The 25,638-nt window shown below is 48.7% G+C and overlaps 3 long non-coding RNA genes across 10 annotated transcripts, besides 2 other annotated features; 2 read left to right on the forward strand and 1 right to left on the reverse strand.

Moving 5' to 3' along the window:
- Positions 1 to 538: 538 nt before the first annotated feature.
- On the forward strand, positions 539 to 7,814 carry LOC105373414 (uncharacterized). 5 transcript variants are annotated; one of them, NR_187861.1, is made up of 6 exons: positions 539 to 2,115; positions 2,234 to 2,541; positions 2,951 to 3,493; positions 3,811 to 3,927; positions 4,366 to 4,521; positions 4,666 to 7,814. It is a non-coding gene; the product is annotated as an uncharacterized LOC105373414 (long non-coding RNA). The 5 variants fall into 5 exon arrangements; NR_187858.1 differs by having other exon boundaries at positions 539 to 1,262; positions 1,962 to 2,115; positions 2,362 to 2,541; positions 2,951 to 7,814; NR_187857.1 differs by having other exon boundaries at positions 2,951 to 7,814.
- Positions 2,409 to 3,608: an enhancer, noted in NCBI's record as "BRD4-independent group 4 enhancer chr2:9244583-9245782 (GRCh37/hg19 assembly coordinates)". NCBI's record gives its function as "activates an origin of replication core promoter dependent on BRD2, P300/CBP, MED14 and CDK7 cofactors, and independent of BRD4, by STARR-seq in HCT116 cells {active_cell/tissue: HCT116}" and the evidence as "EXISTENCE:reporter gene assay evidence [ECO:0000049][PMID:35650434]".
- A 554-nt stretch (positions 7,815 to 8,368) lies between the features above and the next one.
- On the forward strand, positions 8,369 to 15,630 carry LOC105373416 (uncharacterized). Of its 3 annotated transcripts, none has more exons than XR_922772.4 (3): positions 8,369 to 8,420; positions 13,080 to 13,207; positions 14,528 to 15,630. It is a non-coding gene; the product is annotated as an uncharacterized LOC105373416 (long non-coding RNA). The 3 variants fall into 3 exon arrangements; XR_922771.3 differs by lacking the exon at positions 8,369 to 8,420 and adding an exon at positions 8,440 to 9,126; XR_922773.4 differs by lacking the exon at positions 8,369 to 8,420 and adding an exon at positions 9,838 to 10,370.
- Positions 10,187 to 10,714: an enhancer, noted in NCBI's record as "H3K4me1 hESC enhancer chr2:9252361-9252888 (GRCh37/hg19 assembly coordinates)". NCBI's record gives its function as "activates a minimal SCP1, AML or CMV promoter by ChIP-STARR-seq in naive H9 embryonic stem cells {active_cell/tissue: H9 hESC(naive)}" and the evidence as "EXISTENCE:reporter gene assay evidence [ECO:0000049][PMID:30033119]".
- On the reverse strand, positions 13,721 to 25,098 carry LOC105373415 (uncharacterized). 2 transcript variants are annotated; one of them, XR_922770.1, is made up of 4 exons: positions 24,322 to 25,098; positions 18,219 to 18,272; positions 14,654 to 14,756; positions 13,721 to 14,205 (listed from the first exon to the last, which is right to left on the reverse strand). It is a non-coding gene; the product is annotated as an uncharacterized LOC105373415 (long non-coding RNA). The 2 variants fall into 2 exon arrangements; XR_007086202.1 differs by lacking the exon at positions 13,721 to 14,205 and having other exon boundaries at positions 14,214 to 14,756.
- Between the last annotated feature and the right edge of the window lie 540 nt (positions 25,099 to 25,638).

A 25,638-nucleotide genomic window follows, 5' to 3' on the forward strand; every position in this document is an offset into this window, starting at 1 on the left:
TCCAGAGAATCTAATCATTACCAGCCTTCAGAGGGCAGAACAGAAAGACAGTCACTGATGCAGAGGATCTGAAGGGCTCCCAAGCCCTCCTCTTACCCAGCGCCACTCAAATTCCCCAGGACGGGGCTGCCTCCTTTCACTCCCCACTAGTTCTTACTTGGTGTTAAGCCATCAAAGACCTCGATGAATTGCCCCTGTAGAGGGTACCATGAAGACAGGGCCTAGCAAGTTTACTTCAAGGAGAAAAAGTGCCGGAAATGAAACAGATTAAGACAGTGGCCCACAGCACGGCAGGGGCTGACCTCCCGGGCCGCATCCAGACATTCTCACTTACAAGCAGTGTGATTCTGGGTAATTAACCAAACCTCTTTAGGCCTCTGTTTTCTCACATGTAAAGAAAAGATAATCACAGAATCTCCCTCAGAAGGGTTCTTATGAGACTTCCATGATATCATGCAGGTAAAATATCTCCCTGCCTGATTTGGAGTAAGCATCCATAGATGCTAGCTAATATCATTATCGAAAGGAGGCTGTGAAAACACGGACACTAATATTTCACTAGTGTGTCATTGACGCTGCAGCAAGACTACATTACCGTTTTGAAGTTAAATAAAACATAGAGATAAATCTCTGAGTTTAACATGTTTTATTTGGGAAGCAACAACTGCAGTTCGGGGGATAGACACAGAACGGTGGCCTCTCGTATGTCCAAAGAACAGAGAAGTTTGGAGGTTTTATGAAGAGGAGAAATGCTGTGTATTGTTTTGAAATAAAGTTCCTTGGCACTAGTAAGGTTTTGGGGATGCTGGCGAACACTGATTTGTGGGTGATGGTGTTAGATTTCAGCAGGTTGTTCCAGTGGCTGTTAGATAAAACTGGTTTCAGGTTACACCTGGCAGTTCCAGCAGCCAGGTCTGCAGAGAATCGTATGCTTGAAGGAACGTCTTGTGCCTCAAGCGCTTTACCCGCAACCTCTGGACTCTGTTTTAGTTGAGTGTGACAAGAAAGACCCAAGGCGTATGAAGCTTTGACCCTGTTTTGTAAACTCCCTTTGATGCGGTCAGAGTTCATTTGGGGAAACTTCTGGGAATAGTCAACACGGCCGGTTGGAAACGGAGGTGGAATTCAGTGGTTACAGCAGAAGCCTGCACTCTATCGTCCAGTGAGAGCAGCCCAGGGATGGGCACTCATGAAGGAGAGTGATGCTGCCCACAGGAAGCAGGCCAGTGCTGAGCAGAGAGAACCACAAGAAAAGCAGACAGGTCTGCCCGCGTTTGAGCTGGTATCACTTGCCCAGCAGGCAGGCATGGGGTGACACATGACTGGGCGAGCCACTCGCTGGGTGGGGCATTCACACAGGTCAGCTCAAACCAGATGGAGCCTGGGACTGTGACCAAGGAGCGAGTGAAGGTCAAAGCCACACATGGGGCTGAGGGGCCAGGTGGCCGCCTTATGAGATCGAAGGCGGGAAGCTTTGGAACAGGGCAAAAAGGGGAGCCCAGGGTGAGGGGAGAGGGCCGAGCAGCTCGGATCTCTGATGGTGAGCTGTGCAGAGATGGGGAAGCGCCTCTTTTCCTCTTTCATGTGGGTGTCAGGGGGGGTCCAGGCCTGAGGGAGCCAAGCTGGAGGGTGCAGGGTTTCGCGTCTGCCTCGGAACTGGATGTTTGAAAGCAAAGGTGAACGGCCCAGCAGGCCCGCTGGGGCACTGGGAGAACTGGTTTTTGCCATTTTAGGAATTGTTTGGCTTTGGCTTTTTTTCTCACTAAGAAATTGGAATCTGAAAGAGCCTTTCAGCTTATTGTTGAAAATCCATCAGGACCTGAAAATTAGAGACCGGGCCTGAGCTTTCAGCACATTTAAACTCACGGGAGCGAGGTGGAAAAGCCACAGGAAGTGGATGCACTAATTTAGAAAATAGGGAGAGGGAAGACAGCGCCTGTCCCCTCCCTGATTGACCACAGGTAACCCCTGGTCTCTCTGTCTACTGAGGCTGAGTGGCCTGTTCTGGGTCTGACTACCCTACCCTGGGGCCTGACTCTGCCCCGCCCCTCGCAACACTCAACAAACGCTTGTGGAAGGAGTGAACAAATGACAAGTCACGAAACCTAAATACAGGTATGTCACAAGAAGCCCTCCAGGCAGCGAGTCACTTAGCACTGCACAGGTAGCAACTTTCTAAAATATTTTACCTTTAGTATTGTCATTTCATATTTCTGTCTTTCTCTTACTTTAGTGTACTATTTTATGGTGTCTTAAACCATCACGCAATTCCACGGGTATGCAGCACAAAGAATTGAGAAGTAATTCCGATAAGAGCAGGGGAATAGTAATTGAAACTGACACCCATGTGACACTTTACAGTTTACAAAGTGCATGGGTCGCAATTCCAGAGTCTTCAGCTTTGGAGGAGACTGAGGTGCGGGACATGGAAAAGAAGGTCATTCTCTTGGAGCCCCAACAATGACCAGGAGAAATTCATTTGGCGGTAAAACCACACGAACCCTATTACATCACCAAGCCCTCACCGTTTCCAGCACCCAGGTGAGTGGATGGGGTAAATTCTCCACCAGTGACTGCAGAAGGAAACAAATAAAAGGAAAGGGGGCCGGGCGCGATGGCGCACGCCTGTAATCCCAGCACTTTGTGGGGCCGAGGTGGGTGGATCACCTGAGGTCAGGAGTTCGAGACCAGCCTGGCCAACATGGTGAAACCCCATCTCTACTAAAAATACAAAAATTAGCCAGGCCTGATGGTGTACACTTGTAATCCCAGCTACTCGGGAGGCTGAGACACGAGAATCACTTGAACCCGGGAGGCAGAGGTTGCAGTGAGCCGAGATCGTGCCATTGCACTCCAGCCTGGGCAACAGAGCGAGACTCTGTCTCTAAATAAATAAATAAAGGAAAGGGGTACGGAGACAAGCAGCCCAACCCTATACATTTGTCCCCAGGGTCTCTACAAAGAGGCAAGCTGGGACTGAAATCTCTCCCGAGTGTGGAAGACGGACGGGAGCAGCAGCCGGACAGCACAGCTCAAGGCCGAGAGGCTCACTGGGTGACTCGGGCCGCTTTGGGGTGGCTGTGAGAAGCGAAGGGAGGCTGACTCGGGGTGTGGTGGGGAGTGAAGCCACCACCTTATTGCCTAGGCCTTCCCTTGATGCACTTGGAAAATAAGTTGCTCTTTCTTCACCGGGTGGGGACATTAATTAATGTTTGCAAAAGTCTTTATGATCCTTGTCAAAAGGTGTTCGGCCGGCTCTAATTATCCAGGTTTCAGCTGCCACCGCTTCCATCTCAGCACAGCATCTCTGCCCTGGAAGATGTCAAACAAGATTGCTGTTGTCAGGATGTGCATCCAGCTCATGTGGATTTCTATCTGCATCTCCAAATACTGCCCAGATTCCAAAGCCCTGCAAGGGGATGGTATCTTGTTTGGGGAGATGAGACCTGTGCCCCGCCCAGCTCCACCCCGTAAGAAGGCAGCTGCCTGGGAGGTATAATTTGATAAGTTTCTGGAAGGACTCACACATCCAAAACCAACTCCCCATGTCTTCTCATGGGGGCCGGAAATTCCTCCACTAAAAATTCACTCCTTCACGGGTCTTCGATGCTTTCTCAAGTAGTCTAGGACACGGTGGTGGAGGGAGAACCAGCCCAGGAGCCAGGCAGCCTAGCCCTGGGTTTCCTCCTTGTGTGGGTGCTGGCTCTGCCCTTACCGGCCTGGTGACCTGGATAAACTCATTCTCTTTCTTTCTCATTTTTTCCACCTAAAATGGCAACGCTAATGCCTGTCTCACGTGCTGTCGTGCAGATTAGATGAGATAATGGATGTGAACGCCAAGTGTTGCAGAGACGTAAGCGGCATTATCGTTACTGAAATGTCCCAGCCAGATCATCCCCAGGAGGGATTAATGGCCCACCAGGACAGGTGGGCACCTGGGGTGGTCGGAAGAGCCAGGAGAACCACAGCAGGGAAAAAGACTTCAGGAAAGGAAAGGAGAGAGACCCCACCGCTGGCACAACCACAGAAGTTTTGGGGATGAGGAGGGGCTCTAGATATTTCCCCACTTCCCCAGACAGCCGTGTGCCCTTACAGGGGAACTGAAGCTGCCCACCCGGCTCAGGCCTGACCCCCCAGGTACCTGCTGCCCCAGGTGTGCGGGAGGAGGGTGATGGCAGACGGACACCCACCTGGTGAAAGAGCCAGTCAGAAAAATAACTGAGCGTGCCTGGGTGCATGCAGACACATCCCCAGGTAATTTAGACAAAAAGGCCCCGTGTTGGCACGAGTAGCCCATGGATGTCAGACCAGAGTAATTGCTTTCTTTGTCAGAATTTCCTGCATAATTTCCTCTCCTTTGTTTAGCTGAGAGAACCTGGCCTTGCATCTGGGAGTCTGCTTGCCAAACATGATTGGGTTCTTAGAGATGAAAGACACAGAGTGAGCTATTTTCCATAAACACACTGGCACATGTGTTAATTACTGCAAGGAGAAAACCAGCCCCCATGTTTCACGTGGGAGGTGCGTGGTGCTGTGGGGGGAGCGATGGGTGGAGGGAGGACACCCTTCAGGATCACAGTAGCTACTTCTCACCAGGACACTGCTGCCATCCAGCCTTTGTTCTGGGCATTTTGCGTTAAAAATCTCATTTAATCTTCACAACAGGCCTGTGAGGCAGAATCCAGGAATGGAAAGAACTCGGGTTTAGAAGCCAAACATTGCTGGATTTAGTTCTGTCCTCAGCCACTTACTGAGTGAACGGGGCAAGCTACTTGCTTACTGGAGCTTCAGTTTTCCCGTCTGTTAAATGGAAATAATACTGGCTTCAGTGTGTTGTGAGAATTCCCTATAGTAATGACTGTGAAACAGCTGAAACCCTGCAGGCAGGTGGTAAATGATAGCTCTCGTGTTGCCCTTTATGGATAAGGATGCAAGAAGTTTAGGATGGTTGGCCAATGCCACACTGCTGGTCAGCAGCAGAGCTAGGTCCGTCTCCCTGCCAAAGGCAGGCATTTTGCTCAGAGGCCACCAAACCCATACCCTTGGTGGCCAACATGGCAGCGGCCGGATCGGAGTCTCCCCCCAGTACTTTGTAAGCCCATTGAGGGTAAGACTATGCATCAGATCTCTTGGCATCCTTGGTATCCTTGGCAGGTCTCTTGGTATCCTTGGCATCCTCTCTCACAGTGCCGTAAATGTTCCTTAAATGGATGAAAGCATTCAGGAGCACCTAGAATAGATTGAGCAGATAACCGCATAACAGGTGTCCACTGTGTGCATATAACTTCAGCCTCTTCTGCGTTGTTGGGACATGAAGTCCCTTCGCTTTGCATGGAAAATAGTCTAGGCACCCCCTGGCTGACTTGCCACGATGCCTGTCCTCAGGACAGGAAGAAGGATGGGCCCAAGGAGGAGAATTGCGTCAGAGGTCAAGAAATGAACTCCAGCAGAAGTAGCACAAACAGGGAACCCATAAGGAAGCTTGTGATGAACAAACATAGGGCAGATGAAGTGGAATATTGGATGGAAACACACCTTGAAAATGCACAGACCTGTGGCAAGGGAAGGGATCACTGCTTAGATCAATAGCAGGGCCTTGGACCATGGTTAGGGGGATGCTTGTTAGTGCTTCCCTGGGCTGCAGGGAGCCACGGAAAACAGGCCAGGGCAGGAGACCGGCCAGTGACTCACACGGCGGAACACAGGTTTAGAGGAGCAAAATCTGAAGGGCCCCTCTCCTTCTCCCCACCTGTTTTCTGTCACGTGCTCTGGACCTGAGCCCACAGTGGGGCAGCTCCCTCGGCCTCCAGTGGAAGGCGGAAGCACTTGACAAAAAGCCTCCAGTTAACCGGGGCAAGCAGCAGGGTGGGGCTCAGGCCTTCTGGCCAAGTCCTTGTCTCCCTCGAGTCTCCAGCTTTCTCCTGAGAGGCAAAGCCCTCGCCAGGCAGGCTTTAATAAGCAGTAGTGCCCTGCACCCCTGCCCAAGTCCCCGGACCCCATGCTGGCAGGCTACTGCAGCCCCTATCTTGCCTGGCACATGGCACATGGGGTGTCTTGGCATGTGGGGTGGTGCTGTATGCCTGTAGTCACAGACTGGCACTCACTGCAAGAGCTTCCAATGTGTGAGAGCTGAGGCTAGAGTTCCTTGCTGCCTGTGAAGATGGTGCTGTGACCGGAGCAGGCCTCATAATGAGCCGGTGATTTCATCCCCTCCAGACAGAAGACAAAGTCTGTGCCTTCTGGGCAAAACATTAGCTGACCCGTGACACTGCTCAGACCCCAGAGGCCTGGCTCCCGGCCTGCCGGGAGCAGTCACTCCAAACAGCTGCGGCTGTGAGGCCTTCAGAGAGTGGCTAATTAGGGTCTCACCTGGCCAGCTCCAATCTGCAACCACAAGCTCGAGGCCCAGCTGCCTCTCCCCAGTGCCTCTGGGGCTCCGCTGCCTCCCTCACAGATGGCGAGTGACTTCCTTGATCTGTATAAACAAGAATTCTGCCTTATTCAAACAGCAATGATAGATTGGAGGATCTACTATGTACAACACACTGTGCTTGCATCCAATGGTAGAGTTAGAAAAAAAAATGTGATGTCCTGTGATGTTAAGAAGTGAAGAACCCCATGGGGAGGTAGCAGAAAACATCCAACAGTGAGTGGCAACAGGTGTGCTGGTCACCGAGGGCTTCTTGGGCAAGGTCATTCATGAACTGGGTCTTGCAGCACAGATGTGCTGGGAGTGGAAGAGGACACAGTTAGATGCCACTTTATCCTCACTATAGTGGCACAAATGGAGAAGGCTGATGATGCTGTGTGCTGGGGAAGAGGTGGGTGTGTAGGTTGTCTACCTGTTGGCCGTGGGAGTGTAAATGAGTCACCCACTCAGGAAAATAGCTGAACAACCCCCAGGGGTACATTCCTGTACACCACCACCCAGCAATTCCACTCGTAGGTATACACTTCAGAAAACTCTTACACAAAAATATTCACAGCAGGACTGTTCAAACGCCCACCAACAGAAGAATGGATAAACAGGTGTGTTCACACCATGGAGTATCAGACAGCGTCCAAAGAGAGGAATTACGGCCACCCTAGCAATATGGACAATGCTTATCAACTTACTACTAAGTGAGAAAAGTAAGTCCCAAAAGAGTACAAACAGCATGACACCCTCTCAAAGAAGGCAAAGAGATGTCAAATATAATATACACATTTTAGGACTCCAAGGAATAGGTAAGATGAGAGGACAGGATAGGAAAATAGGCCAGGAGCTGTGGCTCATGCCTGGAATCCCAGCACTTAGGTAGGCCGAGGCAGTTAGATCACTTGAGCCCAGGAGTTCAAGACCACCCTGGACAATATAGCGAAACCTCGTCTCTACAAAAAATACAAAAATTAGCCAGGTGTGCTGGCATGTGCCTGAAGTCCCAGCTACTTAGGAGGCTGAAGCGAGAGGATTGCTTGAGCCTGGAAGGTCAAGGCTGCAGTGAGCTGTGATCGTGCCACTGCACTCCAGCCTGGGTAATAGAGAAAGATCCTGTCTCAAAAAAAAAAGGAAAACACAGAAAGGAGGCACACAGGATTCGGGGTGACAGCTATCTTGGGATAGCTCCCTGCAGCCCAGGGAAGCACTAGGGAGGGAATGGGATGGGGTAGGCCACACAGCTGATGTCAGCTCTTGCTAAGGCCCAGCTTTCAGGCTGGGTGGTGGTTTCACAGGTGACTATTCTGTTACTTTAAAATGTGATCTATTAGCACAGCTAGGGACGTAGGACTATGCCTGTAATAGCAAAAGTAATAAAATGCATCAAAGCCCAGGATTATAATTTCACCAGTTTTGTACCTGCCGTCTGTTAGGCTTTTTCCAGTCGGAGAGCATTCCTTGAAGGGGAAGGGCATGAGCAAAGGGAATGAGTCTGGTTGTACAGGGGACAACAGGGGAGCCGGACTCCTGGTACAGAGGGTGACCTGGGGGGGACCTGGGGTGGACCTGCATGCGAGGGGGACCTATGCTTTCTAGTGGCTCTGGTCAGCAGGTCAGGTGTGGGTGCTTGGAACCTGTCGAGCGCCGAAGGCCCAGCCCTGCGGTCTCGTGACCTTGCCCCTGCCCTCCCAGAGCAGAGTGCTCTGTGGCTCCATCCCCTGCAGAGAGCACAGGCTGGGTGAGAGTTGGGGCGCCGGGGTTGGGACTGCAGGTGGCACTGTCAGACAGGGTGGGACACAGGGGACTTGCCTTCTCTTGCAGTAATTTACCCACCCATAAGTGGGTACCTCTAATTCGGGTACCTCTGAATTGAGATACCTTTCACTAGAACAACTTAAACATTCCAGAACCAGGACAGATCCTATCAGGCCTGAGATTCTACTAGGTTCTAGAATATCTGCCGATTGTGAAGAAGGTGGAGGCTTGGATTCACAGTCACCAGGTAGTGTTCTGTCCACACACACACCCCCACTGACCCCCATCTCCAGGCATCTGCCCTGATGGCCTCCAGGGCCCCTTCTGTGCCTGCAGAGATGGCGGCCTGCTCTCTAGGTCAGGCCAGGTTCCCGGGAGCCGAGGTCTGGCTGTTATTCCAGGAGTGCCCAGCCCCAGAGCTGCCACCTCAGGCCCCTGGAAGTTCTGCAGCCTGAGCTGCCGTCCTCAGACCACTCTGCCTCTGAGCGTGCAAGAGGCTCAGGGCCTTTCCAGGCCTCCCAGAGCCAGGCAGCAGCAGGGAGCCAAGAGCAGCCTGTGGCTCCACTGTGGCAAAGGACAGCCTATTTAGGCTGAGAGTGGGCCTGAGAGATCACAAATCTTTTTTCTTTGCCCAGAACTTTTAATTTAACCCTGACTTAAAAGGGTGTTCAGGGAGCATCATGCTAGAAATCCCAAATACGATGAAAGAATCCCACAACAGAGGTGAACAGAGGCCTGTTCCCAGGTTCATCCCGGGAAGGTAGCAAGACAGCGCCCCCTTTGCCCAGCTCAGTGAAGGGCCGGGGCAGCTGATGTGGCCTGCGCACAGGGTGAGGCAGCAAGGGTAAGAGCTTCCAGAACTCCAGGGAAGGCAGCGGAAGAGGGAAACGTTCACAGAGCACCAAGAGGGGCGCAAGGGAGCTCAACTCTACTGCCAGAACCTGCAGTCAGGGGTGAGGAGGCCACAGCTGAGGCCTGCAGGGGTAGAGAATGTCTCAGCACACCATGGGCCCCCCACCAGTACACACTCATCCCCCTCTCCCTGAAAACATCCCCCACCCCGGGGGCCTGGCCCTCAGCAAGTTTTCTGGGACTCAGCTGTAGCCGTGGGAAAGGAGGCTAGAGGCATCCACAGGGAGGTCCAGGAAGAAGGCCTGACTCATTTGAGGTCAACCTCCTGCCACCTAATGGAATGGGGACCAAAGTCGGCATTTAGACCAGTTCAGTAAGAAAAATGAAGGAGAGCTCGCTGGGCACGGTGGCTCACACCTGTAACCCCAGCACTTTGGGAGGCCAAGGCGGGTGGATCATCTGAGGTCAGGAATTTAAGACCAACAGGGTGAAACCCCGTCTCTACTAAAACTAGCCAGGTGTGGCGGCACACACCTGTAATCCCAGCTACTCGGGAGGCTGAGGCAGGAGAATTGCTTGAACCCTGGAGGCAGAGGTTGCAGTGAGCCACTGCACTCCAGCCCGGGCAACAGAGTAAGACTCTGCCTCAAAATAATAATAATAATAATAACAATAATTTAAAAATAAAAAAAAGTGAAGGAAGGCAGCACGATGGCACAGTGCGTGGGCTCTGGGGCTGGCCAGCCTGAGTTTGTACCATGGCTCCTCCATCTAGGAGCTGGTGGCTTTGGGCAAGCTTCTGAATCTCCCTGTGCCATTTTCTCATCCACAAAGTGGTATACTACTAGCACCAGCCTGTGTAGCTTAAGTGGGTATTATGCAAAATATTGAGAATAAGTCCTGGTAGAAGAGTAGGTGCTGCACTTTTATCTGTGTGATTGTTATTCCTTGCTCATAAGAGTTTGAGGACAGAGGTTTGCACCAACCACACTACCATCTCCCTTCTCTGCCTCTCTACCCATCACGCAGCTGTGAGGACTGCAGCCCAGGGAGGTGAGTGGCAGTGCCCACGCCACTGCCTGGTCTTTTTCCTGGCTCAGCTTCTCCCACTCATGCCTGGAGCCATCTCACCCTCCACACACGCACCCTCATCTCTGCCGCTCTCCCTCCGGATCAGCTGAGAACGCTGAGTCATCGAGTACCCCCCACCCCTCCGAGCCTGCAATGTGTCAACAGCCAGCCCACCCGGGCTCAGCTCCCAGCCGCCTGAGTCAGCCCTGACTGAGCCTCTCCCCGGATCCTGTCTCACCGGCCTTCCCCTCCAGCTCCAGGCCCTGCTCTTCAGGTGGCTCAGCTCTTGACCAACCTTAACCCTCCAGAGTCATCACCCCATCATCTTTCCTCCGCTTTTTGTTCGAACCTCTTAAAAGTCTACGCTCTGGTCTACACCTCCAGCTTCTCTTATTTGTGACTCAGTTGCCTGCAATCTGAACTGTGCTCCACCCCGCCACGCCCCACTCCCTGAAACAGTCCTGCTTGCAGTCCTCTTTCCTCCTGTCACGGCTGCGTGCAGCTCTCTGGGTAACGGGCGATTGCACGAGGTTCCGTGGTCTCTCTTGCTTTCCTCCCACATCTTAGACTGTCTTCTAAGTCTCCCACTTCTTTCATTTGCCCCCTCCTTAGGGAAGGGTCTGTCTTTGGCCCTCTCTCCTTCCCCTCCTCACTCTCCTGGGATAATTCAAACGTCAACTGACTGAACCTCCACACATTTGCTGATGGCTCCCAGGATGCATCTCAGGATGAGACGTCCCCTCTAAGATCCAGCTCCCTTTTGGAGGTCACCACCTCGTGGCCTGCAGTCACCCTGAAACTTGAATGTCAAAAATAGAAATAATCATCTTTCCCCCAAATTTGCAACTTTCTCCCATTTCCTTACTCAGAAGGCCCCCCCAGCATCCTATCCCGTGTGGGATTCACTCTTGCTTTCTACCCCCCTCCACATTACTGAATCTATCCCCAAGTCCTGCTGATTTTACTTCCTAAACAATTATTCTCTTCATTCTTACTGTTACCCTAGTTTGGGCCTTAACATCTGTAGCTATTATGGTTCAAATCATGTCCATTTCTCCATATTTTCCTCAAACTTACCCTCCCCTCTGTAGCCAGAATGTTCTTCCTACAGCCCAGGCGTAAGCCACGCCACTCCCCTCCCCCTACCCAGGAGAACCGTGAGCTTCTGTGCAAGATGAGAGGCCCACATGGCCTTCCCATCCTCCCTGCATCATCTTCCCATCCTCCCTGCATCTTTCCCATCCTCCCTGCATCCTTCCCATCCTCCCTGCATCCTTCCCATCCTCCCTGCATCCTTCCCATCCTCCCTGCATCCTTCCCATCCTCCCTGCATCATCTTCCCGCCCCGCCTCCCTAGAGGGAAGAGCTCCAGTGACTGCTCCTAAGCTCACCCGCCCCACTGGCCCTTTCTCATCTCCCTGCCTGGCCTGGGGCTGTGTCCCTGGGGGATGGAGGAGTTTTCCTGTGCTAGCTCACTCCACCCAACACCCAGACCCCGAGGCTCAGCCTCCAGCCTGGCCCGGGCCCCACCTCCTCAGGGCACACTTCTTGGCCCCCCTGGTTGGTTGGGGTGAGTGAAGCCCCAGGGCCCCAGCCCTAATCCCTGGAGGAATCTCTATCCCCTTACTCTCCTTCTGTCTCGATGTCCATTTCCCTCAATAGATTCGGACTGGACCTAGCCTTTCTAGACTGGGGCCCCACAAGACCTAGCTCAGCCAGTGTTTGCCAGATAAAAGGATGAATGACTATGAGGTTCCTTCCAGCTCTGAGCGTGTTTGTCCTTTGTTGACTTTAGAAATCGTTAAAACTTTAAACTTGAAAGAAAGTAGGAGAGAAGTAAAGAAGGAGGAAGAATGAAGCCTGCACCGGAACCCATGCTCTGTAATTCTCAGCACTTCTCTCAGAGAGCTCCATTCTAAGCGGAGTGTGGTGAACACAGCTCCTCCTCTAGGGGTGGTCAGGGGCCAAGGTAGACCCTGCTGAGGGCTAAAAACAGTGAACTAAGAATCAAGTTCCCCTACTGGCCTTCCCATACAGCTTCAGGAAACAGGTTCGATTATCTTGGCATCTATTTCCCAGGTATAAAACAGAAGTCACATTTCCATTTTGCGATTTATTGAGCAGATACTTCCCATAGGTATGTGGCTGCATATCCAATATGTCAGAAAGCAAAACACAAAAAACATTAAAAATAAGAAAGCAGAACTGCAGATTTATTCTAGCAGTGGAGCAAAGATAAATTTCTGGCTCTTGAAAAATTGAGCTTGTCATCAGACAAAATAGTTGGGTCTGAATAAATAAATGTTTATGCAACAAAATATAGCAAAAGATGTATTAAAGGAAAACAACAGAATTGAGAAAAATATATCACCAATCTAACTGCAAATGATTAAAATTGGTAGAAATGTATAATGTGCAGGTCTAGATGCCTTTCCAGGAAGTGAGCAAAGGATGAGTTCAACTGGTTTGCTCAGGAGCCATTGTCACAGCCCAAGGGAGCCACAGTGTGGCCTAGAGTGAGCCCAGCTTCAGTAATAATTCAGAGTCCACACACCCAACTTGCTTGATGAGCCTGTGCCTCTCCCTTCTTATGGAAAATGGATATTTATATGGTTTGGCTGTGTCCCCACCCAAATCTCATCTTCAATTTCCACGTGTTGTGGGAGGGACCCAGTGGTAATTGAATCATGGGGGCGGGGCTTTCTCGTGCTGTTCTTGTGATAGTGAATAAGTCTCACGAGATCTGATGGCTTTAAAAAGAGCAGTTCCCCTGCACAAGCTCTCTCTCTTTGCCTGCTGCCATCCATGTTGAGATGTGACTTGCTCCTCCTTGCCTTCTGCCATGATTGTGAGGCTTCCCCAGTCACGTCGAACTGTAAGTCCAATTAAGCCTGTTTCCTTTGTAAATTGCCCAGTCTGAGGCATGACTTTATCAGCAGTGTGAAAACAGACTAATATAGATATGATTACATCCACTTTGCAGGATTCTCATGAGGACAAATTAGAGCACCTGTCACTATAGCCAGCACTCAAGAAATGGGATTATCATCAGAGGGAAAAATGCACAGCCTCACCAGCTATTAAACATATGGAAATGATGACAATTTAAAGGTAACATGACTTATCTATTAAAGTAAAAAAAGTCTGGTTCACAAAAAGACTTGAACAAAAATATTAGTAGCAGTTTTATCTATTTATCTATAATTTCCAAATACTGGAAAGAGCCCAAATGTCCATTGGGGATAAACAAATTGTGGTATATCCATGCAATGAAATACGTCTCAGCAATAGAAAGAGCCACCCACTGGTACATGCAATAACACGGATGAATTGCAAAATCACCATGCTGGTAAAAGAGGCCTTATGCAAAAGATTTCACACTTTATGCTTTATAATTTCTCTCTCTCTCTCTCTCTTTTTTTTTTATACAGGGTCTTGCCTTGTTGCCCAGGCTGGAGTGCAGTGGTGCAATCACAGCTCACTGCAGCCTCAACCTCTCGGGCTCAAGTGATCCTCCCGCTTCAGCTTCCCAAGTAGCTGGGAGTACAAATGCATGCCACCATGCCAGGCTAATGTTTTTGTAGAGACAGGGTCTCATTATGTTGCCTAGGCTGGTCTCGAACTCCTAGGTGCAAGCAATCCCTCCTGTCTTGGCCTCCCAAAGTGCCAGGATTTTAGGTGTGAGCTACCATGCCCGGTCATATGATTCGATTTGTATGAAATTCTGGAGTAGAAGAAACTAAACTTTGGTAGAAAAAATTAAAATAGTAATTCCTGGAGCCCAGAAATTCTGATTCCAAATTCTGACTGTATCTATTGCAGAAGCATATCATACACAAATATATCTACATAATACTTTCCAATCATCCCTCTTAAACATTTTCTGTAAAACACACCTAAATCCCTTTTGGTTATATTACTTTGGGATTCTGTTTTGTGTGACTGCTTCAAGATCTTAATTTCTTCTTCCTACTTTTCATTCTCCTTTCTGTACTGTTCAGTACTGCCTTGTCCCAAGGAAGGAGGAAATCTTTGCTGGGGACTTCCATGTCCTAGGCCCTGCATCAGGTCTTTGCCTTGTGTTCTCCCATTTCATCTTCACAATGGCCCTGTGGAGCAAGTAGTATTTTTCTCATTTTATAAACGTAGAAACTGAGACTCAGCTTACTGGCATAGCTTGACCATTGTGATATAAGAGGTGGTTTTTCTTAGAGAATAAAGCATTCTTTTAGGCTTTATCTCTTAGACTAAGACCATTTTGAATCCATCTGAGTGAAAACCTTTTATTACAGTAAAAATGGCAAACTCTTTCATTCTCTTAGAGAAGAATTGGTCACTTACATGGTCTCGGTTCTGAGAAAGTAAGATGCTAACAGTCTCGATAAAGGGCTAATCTTAATTAATTGATTTTTTTCTGTTTTAATCCCACAGCTTATAAATAACATTAGCGGTGGCTTGGATTTATTGTTGTGGCCTCCGGAAGAACTTGGGCACAGTGTAACTTCCTGGGGCCCGAGGTTGTTAATCGGTGAATTGTTCATGAAGGACAGTGCTCACTGTGAAGGTGGGTGTCCTGGGATGCTCTGCCTGGCCCGCGGGAGACAAGGCTATGGTCTGACATCCCTCAGCCTGTCCTCATTGTCCTGGCTCTGAGAAGAAGCTACAAAACACAGTAGAAGAAAAAGAAAACAGTCTTTTAAAGACTTGTAATGAGTTGTTAATGATAAAAGTAACACATGCCAACTGGAAAAATGTGAATTTTTTATCTCAGCCAAAAGTATAAAGATACTTCGATTTCTTTAAAAACTTATGGAAATCTGTTGTTGTATGCATAGATTGTTGAATACATCTCTGCTTATTTAAACTCCTGAAAGTCTTATCAATGAGGTCAAAAGGCAGGAACAGGTTGTTTGTTGTTGTTGGTTATTTGTCTTTTTGAGACAGGGTTTTGCTCTGTCACCAAGGCTGGAGTGCAGTGGCGCAGTCACAACTCATTGCAGCCTCCATCTCCTGGGCTCAAGCAATCCTCCCACCTCAGCCTCTAGAGTAGCTAGGACTACAGGTGCACACCACCATGCCTGGCTAATTTTTTTTTTTTTGGTAGAGATAGTGTCTTGCTATGTTGCCCAGGCTGGTCTTGAACTCCTGGCCTCAAGCGATCCTTCCAACTTGGCCTCCCAAAGCACAAGGATTACAGGCATGAGCCATTGCACCAAGCAGAAACGTGTTTAAGGCTCTTAAAAATTATTAGAAAATATTGCTAACTTTTCTTCCAGAAAGGTTTTACCAATGCATGCTTTCATCAGCAATGTGTAGGAAGTATTTCATTGCAGCCTCAGCAATACTGCATATATTCATTTCAAAAACATAGCCAGCTTGCAAAAAAATGTATTTGGTGGTAGCATTTCATTAATAATGAAGTCACAGTTTTTCTATGTACTGATTTCTGACTTCTATGATTCTATTTACTTGAAACTGTAGAACATATATAGAGTTTTTTGGATATTTCTATTACGTCTATATGTTGTTTTACTTTGTAAGTTCTTTTTTGAGACAGACTCTCACTCTGTCGCCCAGGCTGGAGTGCAGTGGTGGGATGTCGGCTCACTGCAACCTCCGCCTCCCGGGTTCAAGAGATTCTCCTGTCTCAGCCTCCTGAGTAGCTGGGACTACAGGCACCCACCACCACACCCAGCTAATCTTTTTTGTACTTTTAGTAGAGACGAGTTTTCACCATGTTAGCCAGGATGGTCTTGATCTCCTGACCTCGTGATCTGCCCGCCTCAGCCTCCCAAAGTGCTGGGATTACAGGAATGAGCCACTGCACCTGGCCAACTTTGTAAGTTCTTTACTCATTTTTCTTACAGAGGGTTAATATTTTTCTTGTTGATTTTTATGAACTCTTTATATATTGAAGATGTTAACTCCTTAAACACACACACACAGAGAAGAAAAGATGGAAAGAGGGTCATAGAGTGGGCAGATATTGGTAGGAGGGTAGACAGCAACTTTGATGTGTACGTTAGCTTCACACTCAGGGTTTGTAATGCAGTTCTCTCTTTTTTTTTTTTTTTTTTTTTTTTTGAGACTGAGTCTCACTCTGTGTCGCCTGGCTGGAGTGCTGTGGCACAATCTCAGCTCACCGCAACCCCTGCCTCCCAGCTTCCAGCGATTCTCCTGCCTCAGCCTCCTGAGTAGCTGGGATTACAGGTGTGCGCCACCATGCCCAGCTAATTTTTGTATTTTTAGTAGAGACAGGGTTTCACCACATTGGTCAGGCTGGTCTCGAACTCCTGATCTCAGGTGATCCACCTGCCTTGGCCTCCTAAAGTGCTGGGATTACAGGCGTTAGCCACCACGCCCGGCCTGTAATGCAGTTCTTAACTGGTGACTCTGGGAGCTGGGCTGTGTTATCTCATCTCCAGTATGTGACAGCCGAGGTCATGGTGGAGGGAGGAGAAAGAACACTCAGGACATGACGCCCAGGCCTGGACGTGGCATGCATTACTTCCATCTACATTCTATTCACCAGACCCCAGGCCGATTGTCCCAGTCTAACGGTGCAGAAGGCTGAGAAACATGACCTTGTGTGCAAAGGAAGGAAAAAGGGAACTGTGAGCCCCTGTTCATTTTCTGCCACCCTACCCTAACCATCCTGTGTTAACTTGCGAAACACCCCAGCCCTCTTCACCCCGTCCCTTGTTTGTCTGTGTTTTTCTTTTCCATAGCCCTTATTTTTGACATGCTGTATATATTCATTTATTATGTTATTGTCAGTCCTCCCCCACAAGAATATAAGCTCTGCCAGGTTAGGGATTTCTGTCAATTTTGTTCACTGACTCAGAAAAGCACCTGGCATCATATTAGTTAAGCAGACATTGCCTGGTGCTATTTCACGGTGCTAAGTGCCCACACGTTTCCCACACTTTCTCTAGCGCATTCTTCCTCCATCGCCCGCTCCCAGCACCTGGCCAGGCTTCCAACTTCAGCCCATGATCCTCATCCTGCTTGAAGCCCTCCATGACCGCACCCCCCCAACCTCCCACAGAACTGATTGTGCCCTTCTTTGTGACATGGTCATGCCTTGTACCAAACTCTACTCTGCATTTATCCCACTATTTTACAATTGTGAATTTGTTTGTCTTCCCTATACAAAAATGAGCTCCTGTAAGACCTGGCCAAGTTAAAGACGTCATAGTATCAGTTGAATGAATGAATGGATGAATAAATAATTGGATAGGCCAACCAATTCTTCACAATTTGGACAGTTTTTAAAACACCCCAGTGAAGTTTGAATATGGACTGGGTACAAATAACACTGTTAAATTTGTTAGGAGTAATAATGACATTAGAGTTATAATGTATCTGACATTCTACATTATATAATGTATATATACTATATTTATATGGTTATATAAAGTATATATTATATAACAGACATATATTTTATAATATATGTTCATTGGAGATATATCCTGAACTACAGGTGAACTGATAAGATGCCTAAGGTTTGCAATAAAAGAAAATGGAATCAGCTTGGGCACGGTGGCTCACGCGTGTAATCCCAGCACTTTGGGAGGCCTAGGCCGGTGGATCACCTGAGGTCAGGAGTTCGAGACCAGTCTGGCCAATAGAGTGAAACCCTGTCTCTACTAAAAATACAAAAAAAAAAAAAAAATTAGCCTGGAGTAATGGCAGACACCTGTAATCCCAGCTACTTGGGAGGATGAAGCAGAAGAATCACCTGAACCCGGGAGGCGGAAGTTGCAGTGAGCCGAGAACACGCCATTGCACTCCAGCCTGGGCAACAAGAGTGAAAATTCATCTCAAAAAAAAAAGAAAAGAAAAGAAAAGAAATTGAAATGAAATGAAATAAAAGTAAATAAAAATAAAGTGTGTTGGAAGAGGAGGATAGATGGCTGACAAGATGGACAAGAGACAAGGTGGGAAAATGTTAATAACTCTTCAAGTTGGGCAATGAGTATTTGACATTCATCACACTCTTCTCTCTACCTTTGCGTATGTTTAAAATTTCCTTAATAGAAATTAAAAGCAAATGAAGTGACATAGACATTCACACTGTGCTCAATGAGAAGGAGAAAAAGTTTCCCAGTGCTGTTACCTTGTCCACCCTTCACCCACATCCAGATGAAAACGCCTCTCGCCTCTTCCAGTGCTGACCATGGAGTTTCATCATATGTGGAGAGAAAGCCAACAGTGGAAGGAAAATGTGAACACTGAGTAATTAAGACCTGAAATCGGGAGGTCTAAACAGTGTGTCCCATATGCCAGGCTGTGTGTCCCACCCTCTGTGGAAGGAAGACAGATGTGGACCTGTGCAGCAGAGGACTGCCTGCACCAAAAAGTCACCCTGAATTCTTCTAGAGAGTTAGGACTGGTGAGGGATCTTAAAAACCACTTAATTCAACTCCCTTATTTTACCAATGCAAGGAAACTATGATTCAAAGATTGCTTGACTTTCCTGAAATAGCAGCAGCGGCCGGGCACAGTGGCTCACACCTGTAATCCCAGCATTTTGGGAGGCCAAGGCAGGCAGATCACCTGAGGTCGTCAGGAGTTCGAGACCAGCCTGGCCAGCAAGGTGAAACCCAGCCTCTACTAAAAATATAAAAGTTAGCTGGACATGGTGGTGCATGCCTGTAATCCCAACTACTCAGGAAGCTGAGGCAGGAGAATTGCTTGAACCTGGGAAGAGGAGGTTGCAGTGAGCTGAGATTGCACCACTGCACTCCAGCCTGGGCAACAAGTGAGACTCCATCTCAAAAAAAATAAAAATAAAAAAGTAAAAATAAAAAAATAGTAGTGACATCAAAACTGAAACCCACATCGGCAGACCCTTGAGTCAATTTTTCCCCCAGTCTCAAATCCATTTGTGAAGAGCGTTTGCATATACACCTTTCCAATACTTTGCCTTCTCTATACCCATGAGAGAGGCAGGCCTAGAAAATGGGTCAGTATGTGCTGATAACTATTTGTAAACAAATCAAATGTGGCTCAGACATGCAATAAAACTTACTAAACCTCATCAAGTTAAAATGCAGAGTCCCCTGGAGATGCACGGGTTTATGGAGATGCAGCGGAAGGATCACCGGTGGAAGAGATGTGTCCATTGAAAAGCAGAAGAAACCTCATTCTCTGCCTTCTGCCCACAGGTCAGGTGAGACTGACCCAGCAGAGCAGGTGTGTCTTAAGCAGGTCCCTCGGCATTGTCTTTTTTTTTTCTGAGACAGGGTCTCTCTCTGTACACTGGAGTGCAGTGGCACCATCACGGCTCACCGCAGCCTCAATCTCCTCAGGCTCAGGTGATCCTCCCACCTCAGCTCCCAAGCAGCTGGGACTACTGGCAAGTACCACCATGCCCAGCTATTTTTTCTATTTTTTGTAGAGACAGGGTTTTGCCATGTTGCCCAGGCTGGTCTCAAACTCCTGGGCTCAAACAATCCACCCGCTTTAACCTCCCAAAGTTCTGGGATTACAGGTATGAGCCACCATGCCCGGCCACTCAGCATTTTTCTACCATAACCAGTGACCATTCATTGACTGTTGACTCTACAAGCAGTTAGTGCTCATCATCTGGTGCCCTCAACAATCCTACCAATAAGAACCATTATCCTCACTTGACAGATGAAAAGAATGAGGCTTACAGAGGGTAAGTGACCTACTAAGAGTCATGCTAATGGGCACTAATGAGTGACTGATCCAGGGCTTGAGTCAGGCCTGTCCAACCTCACAGCTTTTCCTCCTTCCACGGTGCCAAGCTGTGTTTGAAGAATCCAGATGATTTTCACCAAATTAGAATCACTCCTATAAGAGCCAGATATGTCTGTCATCCTGAAACATGGCGGACGGTGAAAGATGGAACCATTACATCTTCCTGCTCTCCAGGGGAGGTCTCTGGCAGCAGCGCCACACTCTATAGATTCAGGGGCCATTCCAGACTGCTGTTGAAATAGGACCATGGGGGCAACAGGGAGGCAATCCCTGCTGGCTGACCTACTGATGGGTGATTCCACATCCTCTTTCCAAGTCAAACTGGGCCAAGCTGAGGCCTGTGCTCAAATTCCCTTAAACCCTCCTCACCTGTAGCTTTCACCAGCTCAGCAAAAAGGAGGTGAGAGAGGAGAGGAGAGGGGTCGACTATCCATCACTCCTCCTCCAAGAGTTTCCTTCTGTTGTGAGTGCCTCTCCAGCTCCCCTCCTGACTAGACACCCCCCCAACCCTTGCCCCACTGGACAAACAGAAAGACACACACCTGTCCTCTCCATGCACATACACAGAAACACACACACAAACACACACACACTGCTCTTCCCAGACCTGTCTTACAGACAAGAAACTTGAGCCCAAACTTGTTTCTGGTTTACTCAGCGTCTTCCATGAGAGTCCTCCAGAGACCATATTTGGCTTCTAGAAAGCAATCATATAAAAATGAATCATAAACGAAAATGCATATCCACATCAAAACCAGTACACAAATGTTCATGGCAGCACGATTCATCATAGCCCCAAGTCCATCAACTGATGACTGGATAAACGAAATGTGGTCCATCCATGCGACAGAACGTGATTCGGCCTTAGAGAGGAAGGAAGTGCTGACACGCACAACGGCATAGATGAACGCTGACGACGTTATGCTACAAAAGACACCAGACATAGAAGGCCCCATATTGTGTGAACCGTTGATATGAAGGATTCTGAATTAGCAAATCCACAGAGAAAAAAGTAGATTCGTGGTTGCACGGCGAGGGGAATGGGGAGAGACTGTGATAGGCATGAGGTTTCTCTTTGGGGTGATGAAAATGTTCTAAAATGAAACGAGGTCATACTTGCACAACTCCAAATACAGTAAGAACCAGTAAATTGTACACTTTAAATGACTTCATTGTATGGCATGTGAATTATATCTCAATCAAGCTGTTACCCAAATAACAAACAAATGATGAGGCTTCCTAGACCCTCCGAGGGGATGGCACAGTTACTGGCAGTCTCTAAGAAGCCTCTAGAAACGTGGGAGGCTAAAACCCAAGAAACTGGCCATCTTAGGCAAACTTGCTGAGTGACCCCTAGTGAACACCCCTAGTGAGAGCCAAGCCCAGGGAGCACACTTCACAGAGGCGTGTCCAGCCCAGGTCACAGGACTCCAGACTGTGCTACCAGACAGACCCGGGTTCCAGCCTTGACTCTGCCACCTCTCGGCTGTGGGATGGGAACAGGTCCCCTGAGACAGAGCCTCATCTGTCAAATGGAGTAAGAATAATAGGGCTGTGATGAGAATGAAATAAACTCTCACACATGGTTTGCATTCACAAAGGTGGTCACTGCTATGACAAACATGATGCCACTCCAAGGGATGGGCTGGATAGTTAAAGTTCAGCGACAGAGGAGAGCGCTCATGTAGGATGTCTCAGCGTTCCATGTACCCACAGCGGGACGCTTTCAAGGACATGTCCCAAAGTGAGCAGGCTCTGTCTCCCTCTTAGCAGCAGTGTCCAGATGGCAGATTTGCACAAGACGTCAGCGTGTTATGAGAAAACATAATGCCAGTCCATCATTTCTGATGCTTTGCCTGAGAGGTTTCCCCCATTATCTCATGTTTTAAATCATCAAGTAGGCACTGTTCCTAAATGCAGGATGCTGGGCGGAATTTCACACAGGTACAAAATGGAGAAGTTGAGTCCTTACTCTCAAGAAGTAACTCTCATAGCAATTCTGTGAGTTTGGTAGGGCTGTTATTAGCATGTCCTTTTTACAGATGAAGAAACTGAGTCCCACACAGGCTAAATGCCCTGCCCAAGATCTTGTAGCTACTAAAGTTGCTGGCAATGTTGAAACTCAAGCCTATGGGGGTCCTGACCTCCAGCCTCGTGTCTTCCTCTGGCTATGGGTTCTCTGAGACATCAAAGCATGGGCTTAAGACTGTCAGAGGCACCGCCTGCCTCACAAATAATCAAGCAATGAGGACAGGAAACCAAGACAGAGGCCTTGTCAGGACCTACTATATAATTTGCAGGGCCAAGTACAAAATGAAAATGCAAGCCCCTTCTTCGAATATCATGAAGACAGTGACAGCAGAGGATCAAAGCCAGCTCAGGGCCCTTCCACGCACCAGTCCCTGTGTGGCTGTGACTGCACAGTCACATGTTCCTGAAGCCAGCCTGCCCCTCGTCCCTGTCACACAAACGCCCAGTGCAGAGCAGACATCTAAGTAACCCTACCGTCTGGCTCAAACAAGAAACAAACTCTCCTGGTCAGGCTGTGAGCCTGCCCTGACCCCACATCCAGCCACCTGCCGTGTGGACACGCATCTCTCGGGATGGCTGACCCAGCATCCTTCAGCATTTCCGACTTTGCAGATTTGCAATCTCTTGGCTGACACTGCAGCCACCTTCTTTGTCTGAGAAACCGTCGCCCTTGCCAGGGTTCAGCGCAGCAACACACAGATCCATTAACACTCTCCGGGTGCCATGGAGTGGAAATGTCTACGTAAAGCCAGAGGGCTCGTTGGCAGGGCTGTCAGAGCTGCATTTTTCTTAAGCAACTGTTTTGTCTCCTTGTTTGTGGCACCTATGGCTGTCTTGCAGAAAACAACACACTACAGTGACAACTGGCTGATCTTTCTTTCCATCTGCCACGCGAGCCTTACTTTTTCTGAATAATAGGTACACAGGAATGGCAGAGAAGCCAGACCCTGCTAGAATTTCATGAATAAGGAAGAGAATTTGGTATTAATTAGACATCAGAGGCAGACAGAAGTGAGTCCTGGGTCTTCCAAAGACCTGATGAATTAGCTGTGAGATTTAAACAGGGCACATTCTCTTTCTTATGGCTTGAACTGTGTTTCCCCCAAAAAAAGATATGTTGAAGTCCTACCCCCCAGTACCTCAGAATGTGACCTTCTTTGAAAATATAGACCAGGCATGGTGGCTCATACCTGTAATCCCAGCACTTTGGGAGGCGAAGGCGGGCGGATCACCTAAGGTCAGGAGTTCAAGACCAGCCTGGCCAACATGGTGAAACCCTATCTCTACTAAAACTACAAAAATTAGCTGTGTGTGGTAGCAGGTGCCTGTAATCCCAGCTATCAGGAGGCTGAGGTAGGAGAATCACTTGAACCCAGGAGGCGGAGGTGGCAGTGAGCCAAGATCACACCATTGCACTCCAGCCTGGGTGACAGAGCAAGACTCCATCAAAGAAAGGAGAGAGAGAGAGAGAGAGGGAGAGGGAGAGGGAGAGAGAGAGAGAAAGAGGGAGAGAAAGGAAGGAAGGAAGGAAAGAAGGGAGTGAGGAAGGGGAAAATACAGGCGGTGGCTCACACCTGTAATCCTAGCACTTTGGGAGACTGAGGCAGGCAGATCAATTGAGGCCAGTAATTCAAGACCATCCTGGCCAACATGGTGAAACCCCAACTCTACTAAAAAGTATAAAAATTAGCCGGGCATGGTGGTGCACGCCTATAGTCCCAGCTATTCAGGATGCTGAGGCACGAGAATTGCTTGAACCCAGGAGGCGGAGGTTGCAGTGAGCCAAGATTGTACCACTGCACTCCGGCCTAGGTGAAAGAATGAGACTCTGTCTCAAAAAAAAAAAAAAAAAAAAAAAAAAAAACGGAAAATATAGAGTTGTTGCAGATGTAATTAGTTAAATTAAGATGAGGTCATACTGGAGCAGTGTGGACCTCTAACCCAATATGACTAGTGTCCTTATAAGAGAGATGAAGAGACACATGTGACGGTGGAGGCAGAGACTGGAGTGATGTTTCCACAGGCCAAGGAACATGGAAGATGCCCATCAGGCCACCAGAAGCCGGGAGGGAGGCCTGGGCTAGATAATCCCAGCACCACTTGCCACCTTGGAAGAGGACACACCAGGCCCAGCTCAGCCTTCAGGTGGCCGCCTCCCTGGCTGACAGCTGGCCCAGCCGTAGCCTGGGTGGCTGTAGAAGGAAGCAACCCTGCCAACACCTTGATCTCAGGCCTCTGGCCTCCAGAGCTGTGTGAGAGCACATTTCAAGTGCACGAAGCCACCCGGTGAGCGGCACTTTGCCACGGCAGCCCCAGGAAATGGACGCACCTCTTTACCTGAAACGTAACAAGGGTGTTGGCCTGGATGATCTCTGGGGTCCTTTCCATCTCTACATATGCTGACTTTGGTCACATTCTCATCTTGTCCCCAAAAGTCAAATTGTCACTCAAGTCAAATTTACCTAGTTCTGTTGTTCCTTCATTCCAGAAGCTTCCTGGACCCCAGCAACCAGCACCGTCTCCCTCTGCAGCTCCCCAGTGAGTGGGCTGCCTCCTCAACTGCACATCTGCTTCATGTCAGGCCCTCTGCTGCGAACTGGGGTAAAAATGCAGACTGGGTTCTTGACCCCGTGAAGGTGAAATTCTAGTGGAGACTTGGCTTTGAACACAAAATCTACTAGGGCAGCCGTCCCCTAGGATGGCCCCCAGTGAGCCCCACATCCTGGTGATGTTCACAACCCCATGGAGTTGCATCTCTTGTTGATGTGGGGCTGGCCTATCAACCGATGAATGGATGGAGGAGATGTGGTATGTCCATACAATGGAATAGCACTCAGCTATGAAAAGGAACAAAATGCTGACACATGTTACAACATGGAGGAACTTCGGAAACATTATGTTGAGTGAAATAACACAGGCACTAAAGGACAAAAACCACAGGATTCTACTTAAATGAGGTTCCTAGAATAGGCAGAATTCACAGAGACAGAAAGCAGATTAGGGGCTACCAGGGATGGGGAGAGATGGGGGAATGGGAGTTATTGATTAATGGATACAGAGTTTCTACATGGAGTGGTGGGAAGGTTTTGGAAGTAGATGTAGTGATGGTTGTACATTGTGAATATAATTCACACCACTGAATTGCACATCTGAAAAGGATTAGCATGGCATGGTTTGTGATATATATTTTACCACAATAATATAAAAATAAATTCAAAGCCAGCCTGGGCCATAGAGCAAGACCCTATCTCTAAAAAAAAAAAAAAAAATTAAGTAGCCAAGCATGGTGGCGCATGCCTGTGGTCCCAGTTACTTGGAAGACTGAGACGGGAGGATCCCTTGAGCCTGAGAGGTCAAGGCTGCAGTGAGCCATGATCAAGCCCCTAGCTGATCTAGCTGCACTCTAGCCTGGGCAATCAAGCAAGACCGTCTCAAAAAAAAGACTGACCTATGTGACCAACACAACTCGGTAGACATGCTAGTGTGTGACCTTCACATCAAGGTCACAAAGGCATCCTGGCCTCTGCCTCTGACTCCAGGCTCACTCGTTCTGGAGGAAGCTGGCTGCCACACCACGAAGACATGCAAGCAGCCCCATGGCAAGACCCTTGCGAAGGGAAACTGAGGCCTCCTGTCGATCGCCAGCACCAACTTGCCACCTTGGAAGAGGACCTACAAGGCCCAGCTCAGCCTTCAGTGAACCGCCTCCCTGGTTGACAGCTGGCCCAGCTGCAGCCTCCTGAGAGGCCAGAACCACCCAGCTAAACCTCTCCTGACAC

The sequence above is a fragment of the Homo sapiens genome, chromosome 2 (assembly GCF_000001405.40).
Source record: "Homo sapiens chromosome 2, GRCh38.p14 Primary Assembly".
Taxonomy (NCBI): domain Eukaryota; kingdom Metazoa; phylum Chordata; class Mammalia; order Primates; family Hominidae; genus Homo; species Homo sapiens.